This window comes from Homo sapiens, chromosome 12, assembly GCF_000001405.40.
Source record: "Homo sapiens chromosome 12, GRCh38.p14 Primary Assembly".
Classification (NCBI taxonomy): domain Eukaryota; kingdom Metazoa; phylum Chordata; class Mammalia; order Primates; family Hominidae; genus Homo; species Homo sapiens.
This window is the reverse complement of record NC_000012.12, coordinates 111,511,660-111,525,505: the sequence shown is the minus strand read 5'-3', so window position 1 is coordinate 111,525,505 and position 13,846 is coordinate 111,511,660. Positions and strand designations below refer to the sequence as shown.

At 38.3% G+C, this 13,846-nt stretch overlaps 1 protein-coding gene across 5 annotated transcripts in view; it reads left to right on the top strand.

Annotated features, from left to right (window-relative positions):
• Positions 1–13,846, top strand: part of ATXN2 (ataxin 2) — a 147,460-nt gene that overhangs the window by 74,168 nt on the left and 59,446 nt on the right. For all 5 annotated transcript variants that reach the window (NR_132311.2, NM_001310123.1, NM_001310121.1 and 2 more), the window contains 6 exons: positions 190–314; positions 4,533–4,624; positions 5,430–5,627; positions 7,079–7,257; positions 9,143–9,352; positions 11,967–12,149. Coding sequence is in view for 4 of the 5 variants with exons in the window: in NM_001310123.1 (NP_001297052.1) it covers positions 190–314; positions 4,533–4,624; positions 5,430–5,627; positions 7,079–7,257; positions 9,143–9,352; positions 11,967–12,149 (987 nt within the window). In the remaining variant the exon portion in view is untranslated. The remainder of the gene's footprint in view (positions 1–189; positions 315–4,532; positions 4,625–5,429; positions 5,628–7,078; positions 7,258–9,142; positions 9,353–11,966; positions 12,150–13,846) is intronic.

Sequence of the window (13,846 nt, the reverse complement as noted above, 5' to 3'; positions counted from 1 at the left end):
TTGGTCTTTTGTTTTCATCAACCTAAATTATGTTCAATAAATGTTTCTGTTAGATTTTAAGTTAAACAATTATGTGAAATTCATTTTTCGTAATTGTTTTTTAACATATGTCTTTGTTGGTAATTCACGTGTGTGAGTGTAACTGATTGCCAGATTATATAAACTTTCAACCAAAACCATTCTTTGCAGATGCTTTTACTGACTCTGCTATCAGTGCTAAAGTGAATGGCGAACACAAAGAGAAGGACCTGGAGCCCTGGGATGCAGGTGAACTCACAGCCAATGAGGAACTTGAGGCTTTGGAAAATGACGTAGTAAGTAACATCTTTGTAATTATTGCTAGACTCTGGTCAGTATGACATCCTGTCACTTGGTTGTAATTTAAATGTGCTTTTGTTGTTGTTGTTATTGTAGTGAGTGTATTTAGAGCAGCAGGTTTGTTGTATAACTAGAGACTTTCTCCCAAGCAATATATAAAGAAAAATGTTTGTCATTTTACTTGTAGGGGTTAAGCAGGAGTACTGTCTGTTCTTGTGGATGCTCATGAATTACTTCTTTGTGATTAAAATAAATAATAAGAAGTAGCTTAAATTAAAATTAGAAACCATGGGAAATGCCGGTGTGTTTTGCTTTAACACCCAGCCAAATAAGGTAGCCTAAGGAAAGTGGTGTCTTAATTGTTGACTTCACCTAGAGAAGAGGTTGAAGTAGGACATTTTAAGCCTCTTGTCTGAAGAAAAGGTTGTCATTAAGATAAATAATTAGGTTACATTGGAATTAAAGCATTACATAAATTTCTTGGTCTTAAATTTGGATTATTCTCCACAAAATTCTTTTATTTCTAAAACGCCTCTTGTCACATACTAGTTTTGTTTCTCTCTTTAATGCATTATCTGTACTTGAAGTGCTTAGCTGGGTATGCTGGCACATGCCTGCAGTCCCAGCTACTTGGGAGGCTGAAGCAGGAGGATCACTTGAGCCCAGGAGTTGGAGTCCAGCCTGAATGACATAAGGAGACCCCTTCTCTAAGAAATAAAAATAAAAACAAATACTTAATAAAGACTCTGTCTTTAGGATAGAGAGCATAGAGATATAAAGCAAAGTGTCTTGCCAAAAATGAGTGTTATGGTACCAATATTTGAGTAGAATGAAGAATCTTCCATTGAGTAGAAAGAGAATTTGTAACATATCTGTGTTTGATGTTTAAGGCATAACAGCTTAATAATGACACTCTTCCTCAGACAGGAAGCCTGAAATGTCCTACTTTGACCTAAAGTCTAGTAATAAAACTGGACATACACAGGCAACATGTCATTAATTCTCAAACTTTAACAAATCATATATAACCTAATATAATGGTTCTCAAGTCTGTACATCACGTCACCTGTATGAAAAATATGAGGAAACAGAGACTTCTTTTACACTATTGGTGAGGTGGATAAATTGATAGAGTCTTTCTGGAGAGAATCTGGCAATGCTAATCAAAATTTAAAATGCACATACACTTTGTTCCAGCAGTTCTATCTCTAGTAATTTATTTTTGCCCTCATATATCCATAAGACATGCAAATAATTATATGTGAAGATTTTTTTTTTTTCTTTTTCTGCAGAGACAGGGTTTTACCATGTTGCCCAGGGTGATCTGGAACTCCTGAGCTCAGGTAATCCACCCACCTCAGCCTCCCAAAGTGCTGGGATTACAGGTGTGAGCCATCATGCCTGACCAGGATTTTTTTTTTTTTCAGCATTATTTCTTTTGTTGTTGTTGCTGTTGTTTTGAGAGATGGAGTCTCACTCTGTCACCCAGACTGGAGTGCAGTGGTGCGATCTCGGCTCCCTGTAACCTCCACCTCCTGGGTTCAAGTGATTCTACTGCCTCAGCTTTCCAAGCAGCTGGGACTATAGGCGTGCGCCACCACACCCAGCTAATTTTTGTATTTTTAGTAGAGACGGGGTTTCACCATATGTTGGCCAGGCTGGTCTTGAACTCCTGACCTCAGGTGATCTGCCCACCTCGGCCTCCCAAAGTGCTGAGATTATAGGCGTGAACCACCATGCCTGGCCATAGCATTATTTCTAATAGTGAAAAATTGGAAACATGCTAAGTGTCTATCAATATAGCATGAGTTAGATTTATGATGTCACCATTCAATTGAAACACTACATATCTCCCAAAAAGAATGGTGTTCCAATATGGAAAGATATCTAAGATTTATTAAGAGAAAAAGCACATTGCAGAACACTGGGATCCTATTTGCTTTTTTTTTTCTTTTTTTGAGACAGAGTCTTGCTCTGTCACACTGCAACCTCCGCCTCCCGGGTTCAAGCGATTCTCCTGCCTCAGCCTCCTGAGTAGCTGCCACCATGCCCAGCTAATTTTTGTGTTTTTAGTAGAGAAGGGGTTTCACCATGTTTGTCAGGCTGGTCTTGAACTCCTGAACTCGTGATCCACCTGCCTCAGCCTCCCAAAGTGCTGCGATTACTGGCATGAGCCACCGCACCTGGCCATGAAATTTTTTTTTTTTTTTAAAGAGCTGTTCATATTCTTATTGCCTAGAAGATGTCTGAAATTACACCCAAGAAACTCTTTTTGAGACGGAGTCTTGCTCTGTTGTCCAGGCTGGAGTGCAATGGCGTGATCTTGGCTCACTGAAACCTCTGCCTTCCAGGTTCAAGCGATTCTCCTGCTTCAGCCTTCTGAGTAGCTGGGACTACAAGCGCCCGCCACCACATCTGGCTAATTTTTTGTATTTTTAGTAGAGACAGGGTTTCAACATGTTGGCCAGGCTGGTCCCGAACTCCTAATCTCAGGTGATCCACCCACCTTGGCCTCTCAAAGTGCTGGGATTACAGGCATGAGCCACTGCGCCCGGCTGAAACTCTTTTTTTTTCTTTTAAGATGGAGTCTCGCTCTGTCGCCCAGACTTGAGTGCAGTGGTGTGATCTCAGCTCACTGCAAGCTCTGCCTCCCGGGTTCACACCATTCTCCTGCCCTAGCCTCCCAAGTAGCTGGGACTACAGGCTCCCGCCACCACACCTGGCTAATTTTTTGTATTTTTAGTAGAGACAGGGTTTCACCATGTTAGCCAGCATGGTCTCAATCTCCTGACTTCGTGATCCTCCTGCCTCGGCCTCCCAAAGTGCTGGGATACCAGGCATGAGCCACCGTGCCCGGCCAGAACTCTTAATAGTAGTTATTTATGCACGCTGGGATTGGAAGACATTTACTTTTTACTGGATGTCTTTCCGTATTGTGTGCTTTTTTTTTTTTTTTTTTATGTAGGGCATACATTACTTAAGTAATTTTAAAGCCTCCATAAGTAAGTGTGATTTCCTGCCCATGTGTTTGGCAAAAGGAATTGCATTGGTGGTAGACTTACATTATAGTCTTACCTGGAGTAGCACAGGAGGACCCAAGGTTAATAGGTGAACTTCGAGGCAAGCCTTAGCATTGAGGTTGCCATCAGCATTGCTTGGTTGATGTGTTCATTCTTCTGGGATGGATTACAACCTTTACTGGACTTTATACTTTTCACCAGTAAGGCTTTAAAAAAGGAGTTGAAACATTAGAGAATAATTATCCAGGCAGTAATATTCACTGGTAAATAGTCTTCCAGCCTGTGGCCCAATTGGTTGATTCTTTTACGTTAAAGAATGCAGCCTCAGCTGCTCTGCCTATGGAGTAGGATTCTTTTATTTACTTTCTTAATAAACTTGCTTGCCCCTGGCTCCCCCCCACCAAAAAAAGAAGGCAGCCTCCCTTTTGCGAATGGTAATTTCCTATAGTTTCCTCGTAGAATTGTGGAGTTACCTATGCTGAGGTTATAGGTTAGGGTATTGAGATCCAGAGTTGCCACTTCTGAGGTGTCACAACTGCTAATGGTAAAACCATTTCTAAAGCCCAGTTCTTGTGACTTTGTCCAGTGATTGCCTGTTCACCGTTTCATGCTGCCTTCCCATTTGAGCATTCCCAGGAGGAAGGGGAGGTTGCCAGGGACCTAGTACCATAGTCCGACCTTGGAATCGTTGAATATGAGGGAAAGCGTTGGCTTCTCCCTTCTTTCTCCCAAACATTGGAAGTATTTTTGGCTGTTAAAAAGCACCCCTTGTTCCATGTGGAATCCCTTGTTTAAAAGAAGTAAAATATGTACCTCCTGTCCTCCACAGACCTGAGGACCAGTGTGATCTCAAGAAGGTTACAGGTAAATGTAGATGTCTCTAACTGAAAGGTGGCTTTTACAGGTTAGAGAAAAGAGAGAACCCTGATCTGAAGGCTATTTTATGAAGTAATTAAAATGTTCTAAACTTTAAAAATAACTGCTCAAATAATTGTGTTGTATAGTTACTTATCAACTGGAGGGGCTGATAAGTATTTTTCTAAAACATTTTTAAGGAAATTTTTTCCTATTTTCTAATTTGCTAATTTTGCTCAAGTAGTTTGTTAGATATTGTTAATATAGATGTTGGTTATAACTGAATGAAAGGGAACAACTACTTTGACATTTTGAAAAACAAGCTTCATTTTCTTCTAGTCTAATGGATGGGATCCCAATGATATGTTTCGATATAATGAAGAAAATTATGGTGTAGTGTCTACGTATGATAGCAGTTTATCTTCGTATACGTAAGTTTGAAAAGTTTGTTTTTATTTTAGTGCATTTGTCTTTGATTTTCATCAGCTTAATTTATGATGAATAAATGTTTGTTAGTTTTTAAGTTAAACAATTACATGAAATAATTTTTCTCTTATTACCAACTGTGATAAATTTCCATTAAAAAAAGGGAATAAATGTAGTTTGCCTATACCCTGTTTTTATGCTCTAAACAAATTTTGGTTTTGTCTTTTTTTTTCTTTTGAGAGGGAATCTCGCTGTGTCTCCAGGCTGGAGTGCAGTGGTGCAATCTCGGCTCACTGCAACCTCTGCATCCCGGGTTCAAGCGATTCTCCTGCCTCAGCCTCCCGAGTAGCTGGGACTATAGGCGCGTGCTACCATGCCCATCTAATTTCTGTATTTTTAGTAGAGACGGGGTTTCACCATGTTGGCCAGGATAGTCTCGATCTCTTCACCTCGTGATCCACCTGCCTCGGCCTCCCAAAGTGCTGGGATTACAGGTGTGAGCCACTGTGCCTGGCCGGTTTTGTCTTCTAAGTTGTTAAAAAATATCTAAATTTGCAAGGGCAGAGATTATGGTGAACAGTTTAACCAGTTTTTGAAATATGTTCCTCTGGAGAAAAGGTAACAGAAAAAAAAGTTAGAATTTTGATTTATAAATACACAGATCACTATAACTTTTAGTTTTAGTTTTAGTTTTAGTTTCTGTTTTTACCAGTATTCTAAACTCTAAACTTTCTTAGTAGTTGATTATGACAGATACATAAACTGTGGCTTTAAAGGACTCATTTTGCTTTTCTTTTCCTCATGTTTCAGAGTGCCCTTAGAAAGAGATAACTCAGAAGAATTTTTAAAACGGGAAGCAAGGGCAAACCAGTTAGCAGAAGAAATTGAGTCAAGTGCCCAGTACAAAGCTCGAGTGGCCCTGGAAAATGATGATAGGAGTGAGGAAGAAAAATACACAGCAGTTCAGAGAAATTCCAGTGAACGTGAGGGGCACAGCATAAACACTAGGTATTTAAAGGAAATCATGATGCAGTATTTTGGATACACAACTCAAGGTCTGTGTGAGACGGTGTATTGTTATTATATTTCCTCTTCCTTTAATATAGCTTAGGTAGAGAATGCAAGTAGAATTGGTTTAAGATCTGTTAGAGAAAAGGTTATGGTGATCTTGGAAAATATGCTTTTGAGAGTAAGCTCTGTGGAGCCAAGTGTTGGTATATCACGGTGAGCAATCCAAGATCTTGAAGAGCTTGTTAAAATAGTTATCTGGTGGGGGACACGTGTAACAATCACAGCAGTACAATATGATTTGCTTGGTTAAAGGCATGTTCAAAGTACTAGGAACATACAGAATGAGGAGGAGCTAGCATAACCTGTAGAGTCAGAGAAAACCTCATTGAGGAGGTGACATTTTGTGATAAGATAATAGGGTCTTTGACACTTAGAGAAGAGTTGGGAGAAGAGTTTATCACCTGATGAAAAGCCATGTACAAGCATGGCTATGAGAAAATTTGGCCAGCTCAGGAGAGGGCTGGTTGTTGCATGTGTCTGGAACACAGGATCTGTGTCAGGTGCAGCAGTGGCAGTTGATAGTAGGAACTGAGGTCATTAAAGGACTTGGCATGTCATGCTAAAGAGCACCCTGTTGGAAGGAGATGGGGTGAATAAACCCTGGGGCATTGAGGACTGGCTGAGACACAGAGAACAGTTAGTGCACTGAAATAGTTCAACTGTGAGAATTTGGTAACCACCTAGTTAAGGGATGAGCCTGAGGTTTATTTGATAACTAAGTGACTTAATGGATGTACTGGTAAGAGAGAGAGGAAACATGGAGCAAGTTTGAGGGGAAAAACAGTGACTCCGTTTGTGCAGCTAATTGCATATGTGGGCTTGTGGGTCTTTCATTTATTCATAAACGTGTTGAGAAATACCTGCTACCTATCTAGTAAAGTAAGAGATGCATCCTCTCTTAAAGGCAGTCAGCTTAGAGTCTGGTGATTTGAATTGACATGTCCACTGATAGATGTTGACACTGTGAGACTGGCGGTTCAGTTTGAGGTTTCATCAGCATTGCCGATATTGGAGCCATGAAAAACCAAAGAACAGCCAGTGAGAGAAGAGATCTCAGAGAAAATAAAATTGAGAAAGTGAAGGACAAAAAATGTTGTGAAGATAGACCAAGATTGATGGAATCAGCCATAGAGAGGTCAAGTGGGATGAGAATGAGCACGCATCTGTTAAACTTTGTGCTTAGGAGCAGAATCTAAGGGAAGGGACAGTCCAGAGGTTAGAACTCAGGGTAAGATGGAAGAACAGGGGCATCTGGGAGTGAGGCAGTTTGGTTTAGTGTAGAACCTTTTTGTAACAAGCATTCCCTTCTGTCTAGATGACTTTTAGATATGTTTCATTGGCTTGGTACCTTTTAGAATAAAATGATTTAGAGGATCTCTCATTTTCAGGGAAAATAAATATATTCCTCCTGGACAAAGAAATAGAGAAGTCATATCCTGGGGAAGTGGGAGACAGAATTCACCGCGTATGGGCCAGCCTGGATCGGGCTCCATGCCATCAAGATCCACTTCTCACACTTCAGATTTCAACCCGAATTCTGGTTCAGACCAAAGAGTAGTTAATGGAGGCAAGTATTTTGACCAGACTTGTCAATATCATTGATAAAATAGTTTTCTAAATACTTAAAATACTTAAAATAGTTTACATAACTGATATGAATGTGCACTTTAATGATTTGGTGAGTAGCTTTCACTTCAGCATTACTTAAAATTGGCTTTTGTGGATATTAAATTAGTAAAACATTGTATATGTCATTGACATATATATTATTTAGCATGATGAAATATTCATGATGTACTAAGATAAAGTGCTACATTTAACCCAAGACAATCACTTGGCCAAAAACACTTCACATATAAAGAAATTGGAAACTTTGGGTAGGTTCTCAATTTTAAAAACACTGGATAATAAAATTTTTTAGACATAATTTATATGGAAAATTCTAACCTATGTGCAACACTGTGGTTAATATAGATCAATTTTCATTATTTGTTTCTATATTATGCTTACTTCAAGAAAGGATCTGAGGTAACTTATAATACAAGACATGATCAAGAGTCATGTGAAGAAAGTGACTAGAGAAATTTGCTTAAAAAACAACAAAAACAACCCTTAGTCTAAGGGTGGATGTTACAGTTTAGCAACTTAAGTAAAAGAAACCTGAATCTTTAGTAGGAAGACATTTTTTACTCTACCTCTAAATCTAGGTTGAATATATCTTGTAGGTTGTGGATCTTTTCCATAAATCAGGGATACTGAACAACAGTTCTATGGATGGTATGGAAATAGTAATAGCAATAGTATGTTACTAACTTTGTGGGAAAAGAGTGGACATTCAATTTTAGCTATTTAAATTTGGAAAGTTAGATGAAAATAGAGAACACTAAGTTTCCAATTTCATTTGTTTTCATTGAGTCTTTTCTCCAGAATTCCTCTCCAAATGGACACTCTTGAGTATTTTCAGTACTTAATATTGGGGGTGAAATTTCTTTGCTCACTGAGGAAAGATTTTAGTTGTTTATAAACAGAATTTTAAAGTTAAAAAACCTGAAGGGGGCTGAGAAATATATGATACTTAAGTGTGTGGAACCCTATGGAGAGGAGACCTGGACTGTTTGATAAGATTAAGGTAAGTGATATGTAATGTTAAATACTAGCTGTATCTTTACCTAGGCATATCCATCAGTATAAATTTATTTGGTGATGACTGCTTTGTAGTTGCAGTATTTATTAAGCAGTCGCTTAGATAAGTGTTTAACTGTATAAATTATTTAGAAGGTCTCCCTTTTTCTAGTTTAATGAGGTCAAGACTTTTTTTTTGAAATAGCAATGAATATTATCATTTGATACTCACAGGAGTCACAAACTCTAGAAGAGTAATGTTTTATTTCTACTTAAATGGGACTTGCTTAATAAGATTCCAAACTGAGTTCTGGGTTCAAGTGTAAACCTGATGAAAATCATAGATAATTGTAAGGAACCAGCATTTCTAATTGGATATAATAGCTACTGCTTATTTTCGTTATGCCTCAGAGTTAAAACTAATACAGTAAATAATCTTACTCCTGAGTAGGAATTATTGTGATTTATTATGTGAAATTATCTAGTGTATGTTATATTCCTTTAAACAACCAGTTACTGAGAAACAGTTATAGAAGCAGGATTAATAGGCAAAGTCTTAACTGTCTTCTTCAATAGTGTGTATAGATCCTAATTAACCCTTTGGGAACGTGTATTCATTTAAACAGACTTAATCTTAAGGAGGTTAAAGTAAAATGTGAATTTATGTCAGTTAAGTTATGCTAAAACTTATCACAAATCAAATGACTGTCCTCAAAGGGTTAAAATGTACAAGAAATCATTTTTGTCATTTTACTTTTTTTCTGTTTACTTTTTTCCCTCATTTTTTTCTTTAGTTTTTATACTTTCCTTCATATCATTTGTTCTGTCAGGTGTTCCCTGGCCATCGCCTTGCCCATCTCCTTCCTCTCGCCCACCTTCTCGCTACCAGTCAGGTCCCAACTCTCTTCCACCTCGGGCAGCCACCCCTACACGGCCGCCCTCCAGGCCCCCCTCGCGGCCATCCAGACCCCCGTCTCACCCCTCTGCTCATGGTTCTCCAGCTCCTGTCTCTACTATGCCTAAACGCATGTCTTCAGAAGGTACAATACCACAATTTGTTCATGTTTTTGTTTGTCTTTGTTTAACTCCTATGTGAGTTTATAATTACAAAATAGTTTCCTCTTCATTATTTAATAACCTATAATTTCTGTGTTTTAACTTTAGTTTATTAAAACTATTTCTATTAACCTTTTGTTCATTAGAGAGAAATTTGATAAATGTGTGAAGCTATAAACTCTCTTGAATTGTTGTTAAAAAGGGGGTTTATCTCTGCCTGATAATTATGCTTCTTTACAGCCCCAGAAGGGTCTGCCCCACAGCCTTCCCCCTCCTTATTTGCACTGTATACAGTAGTTAAACAAATGAACTTTCTTCAGCCAGTCTTGAACTTAGGTTCATTTTACAGCTCTTTGGCCAAGGTCCTAGTGAACCTTCCTATTGGCCATAAGCAGGGATGGTGTTTTCTGGGTCTTTTTTGAGAGCGACAGCCCATGTAGCTGACTTTGCGTGTCTGCCCTTAGATTAAAGTAGTTGATTTTTAGAATGCCAGAAGAATTCTAAATTTAACTGAGTAATTTTTTTAAAGTTAGCTTTGCAATCTTACATAGTGAAAGGCTGCTTTAATCTGGAAGAAGTCCTTGATCTGAGATAAAATTGATAAAAACGACATATGAATTTGAATATTTAGCTATTTCTTTCCTCGTCAAAAATAAGAATAAAATCTTGTAATTCTTATTCAGTATTTGGCGCTAAATCCATCATTGCCACATATCAAATACAGGGATATGTTGTAGAAAGGTAACATTCTAATTTAAATGCCACCCATATATTAAAAACCTGTTTTCTGAATCATAATGTCCTTTTGATACTAGTTCTGAATATTTGTGTTAAAATTTTAATCTGATTTGTTCATTAAAATTAGTTAATATTGCTTATGTTGGGACTAATAAAGTTTTCCGCACAAAATGTGTTTCTCCTGCTTCCCTGGAGAAAACTGTATTGGCTACTTTTAAATAAATTGTTACCATCTAAGCAGGCAGGTCATATGACTTTGACTGAAGCATCTAACCTTGAAGAGCAAGTTCCACTGATTTTCAAGGTGACTTCTTTGCTCAAAAGGGCCTTAATAGTGGTCACTAAATGCAAAATTCTGTTGATATTTTTCTTGTAGTCCATCATTTGAGTAAGCGATGTTTATTTAATGAGAATATATTAAATAAAACATGATCATTAATGACTGTGAACATCTTTATTACATTAAGATTTAAGGACTGCTCATGTATTAACTTCACACAGAAATATACTTTCTGTGTCATTCAGAGATGTTGAATATTTCCATTTGAAAATTATAGTGTATAACATTAGCATTCTTCTAAAGATCATGTTCGTGTTTAAATTCCTGTTGGAAGCCAGGCATGGTGGCTAACGCCTGTAATCTCAGCACTTTGGGAGGCTGAGGCAGGTGGATCACTTGAGGTCAGGAGTTTGAGACCAGCCTGGCCAACATGGTGAAACCTCGTCTCTACTAAAAATACCCAGCTACTTGGGAGGCTGAGGCAGGAGAATCACTTGAACCTGGGAGGCAGAGGTTGCAGTGAGTTGAGATCGTACCACTGCACTCCAGCCTGGGCGACAGAGACAGACTCTGTCTTATAAAAATAAAAATAAAATAATAATTCTATTGGCAACATATATTAATTTGAAGTTCTAAAGAGTTTGGCAGCCGGGTGAGAGAGTGAGGAGATTTGGCTTTGACATTAGGGAAGTTTTCGCTTGGTGTTAACACCAGTAGGCTTCTCTGATGAGGGCCATTCTGTCCACTCTTTTACCTGATAGATTGGTCTAATGCACAGTAGACTGATTTAGAAAGAGTAGTCACTAGTGGCATGGCAGAATCAATAATGTAGAATTTTGACAATTCATATAGTGCTGATTTCTCCCCCAAATGTCAGTTATTTTGGTCATCTATTAATAGACTAATACAAGTCATCCCTTTAATAGAATTTTCAGCTCACAGCCTGCTAAGCCTAAGAAACTGCTTACAGGTTACTGCTTACTGTTTTAAGCCGAGTTTTAAAATTGATGATCATGATAGAAGAGATAAATAAACTAAAATTTTAGAGAAATTTAAGAAGGGTATGTACATATGTTTTAGTGGTATCGGGGTGTATAGGGATTAATAGTCTTCTGTTTAAATTTTTTTTTTCTAATTTTAGAAGTAATGTAGAAAATTCGGGTCAGGGAAAGGTAAAATATATGGAAAGTTAAAAATATTTTATCATGTAGTCATAATTTCTAGTAACATATTTCTTTACAAATAAGACATAGTTGAAACAGATTGCTACAGTTCTTTTAAGAGTTGACATCTTATTGTTGATTTCTTACCACCAACTTCATCCCTCCCTTTCTTTAAAAATAAAGGGAAATAATAAAATTTATTTATAAAACTTTGTGGCATTCCACAAAATAATTCTGAAAGAATTAGTATGGCCAAAAAAATATGTATGGTGTTTTTTTTTTTTCTATTTTTAACCAAGGAAAAACTGTAGAGTGAGTGAGTGTGTGTGCATGTGTGTGTGAATGGGTGTATTTAGCAGAAAAGTAGTACTGATGAATATCATGGAATTTATGTGATGTTCACTGTTTCTTCCTTAGGGCCTCCAAGGATGTCCCCAAAGGCCCAGCGACATCCTCGAAATCACAGAGTTTCTGCTGGGAGGGGTTCCATATCCAGTGGCCTAGAATTTGTATCCCACAACCCACCCAGTGAAGCAGCTACTCCTCCAGTAGCAAGGACCAGTCCCTCGGGGGGAACGTGGTCATCAGTGGTCAGTGGGGGTAGGTAACACTTGGGCATAATGATGGTACTCATTTTGTCATTACACTAGATATAAAGAGGGCTGAGCTACAACTCTGTTTGAGGAAGTGTAAGTATGTATATGTTAAAAATAGTAGAATCACCAGGAATTGGGAAACCCATATTTTTATTCTGGGCTCTACCACTTATTCATCATATATTAAAGCAAGTCAGACACTCATTCTGAAGTTGAGATTTCGCAGTGAGTAAAGTGTTAATAATTCTTGCCTAGTCTACATTATGGGATTGTGATGAGATTCCTATAAGGTTCATAAATACAGATATATTGTAAAACTATAAAGTTTTGTAAAGTACCTCTCTAATATGAGGCAAACACAGTATGTAACACTATTTGGAGGGACCGTATTTCCTTATCTTTTTAGCAGCTTTGTTTATCAGTACATTCTATAAACATTTATTTTTGGCTTACATTGTAGTGTGTTTCTATAGCATCTGTATATGGCACTAATTCCCAACTATATTTCCATAATAAGGAATATCAAATACAAATAAAGGGTCCAAGTTTTATTTGTGATTAGCATAAGGAATATGCTGACAGCAGCTATAAAAGTATAAAAATTAGGCTGGGTGTGGTGGCTCACGCCTGTAATCCCAGCACTTTGGGAGGCTGAGGTGGGCGGATCACAAGGTCAGGAGATCGAGACCATCCTGGCTAACACGGTGAAACCCCGTCCCTACTAAAAGTACAAAAAAAATTAGCCGGGCATGGTGGCGGGTGCCTGTAGTCCCAGCTACTTGGGAGGCTGAGGCAGGAGAATGGCATGAACTCGGGAAGCGGAGCTTGCAGTTAGCTGAGATCACGCCATTGCACTCCAGCATGGGCAACAGAGCAAGACTCTGTCTCAAAAAAAAAAAAAAAAAAAAAGTTTAAAAACTAGACGTTGACATGATTTTACAATAAGGCTGACTGCTTTTGCTACTTTGCCAATCAGTCCTTAGTGCTTTGTTCCCATAACTGTGGTAAGCAAGAGCTTACAAAGAATACTTAAAACAAACAAACAAACAAACAAAAAAAACACTTTTTCTCTTTTAATCAGTCCAGAGAACCTTTAAAAGAAACAAGATCGGCCAGTTGCTGTGGCTCATGCCTGTAATCCCAGCACTTTGGGAGGCTGAGGTGGGTGGATCACTTGAGGTCAGGAGTTCAAGACTGGCCTGACCAACATGATGAAACCCCATCTCTACTAAAAATACAAAATTAGCTGAGTGTGGTGGCTATTTGAGAGGCTGAGGCAGGAGAATCATTTGAACCCAGGAGGTGAAGGTTGCAGTGAGCCAAGATCACACCATTGCACTCCAGTCTGGGTGACAAGAGCGAAACTCTATCTCAAAAAAAAGAAAAAAGAAACAAGATCTTCAAGCTTAAGGAAACAAAAACAAAACTCAGCTGTGTTAAATCTGTTTTTAGTTGCTATACATTTCTGCTCAGCTTCATGTGATGCACATTCATGTAATTGTATCCTAAATTCCTTTGTACTTTTTATTTTCTTCCTTGGTCTTCAATTATCTTAAGACTACCAAGAAAACAAAAATTTTAAAAATCTTCTTCAGCCGGTCAGGCGCAGTGGCTCACGGCTGTAATCCCAGCACTTGGGGAGGCTGAGGCGGGTGGATCACGAGGTCAGGAGTTCAACACCAGCCTGGCCAACATGGTGAA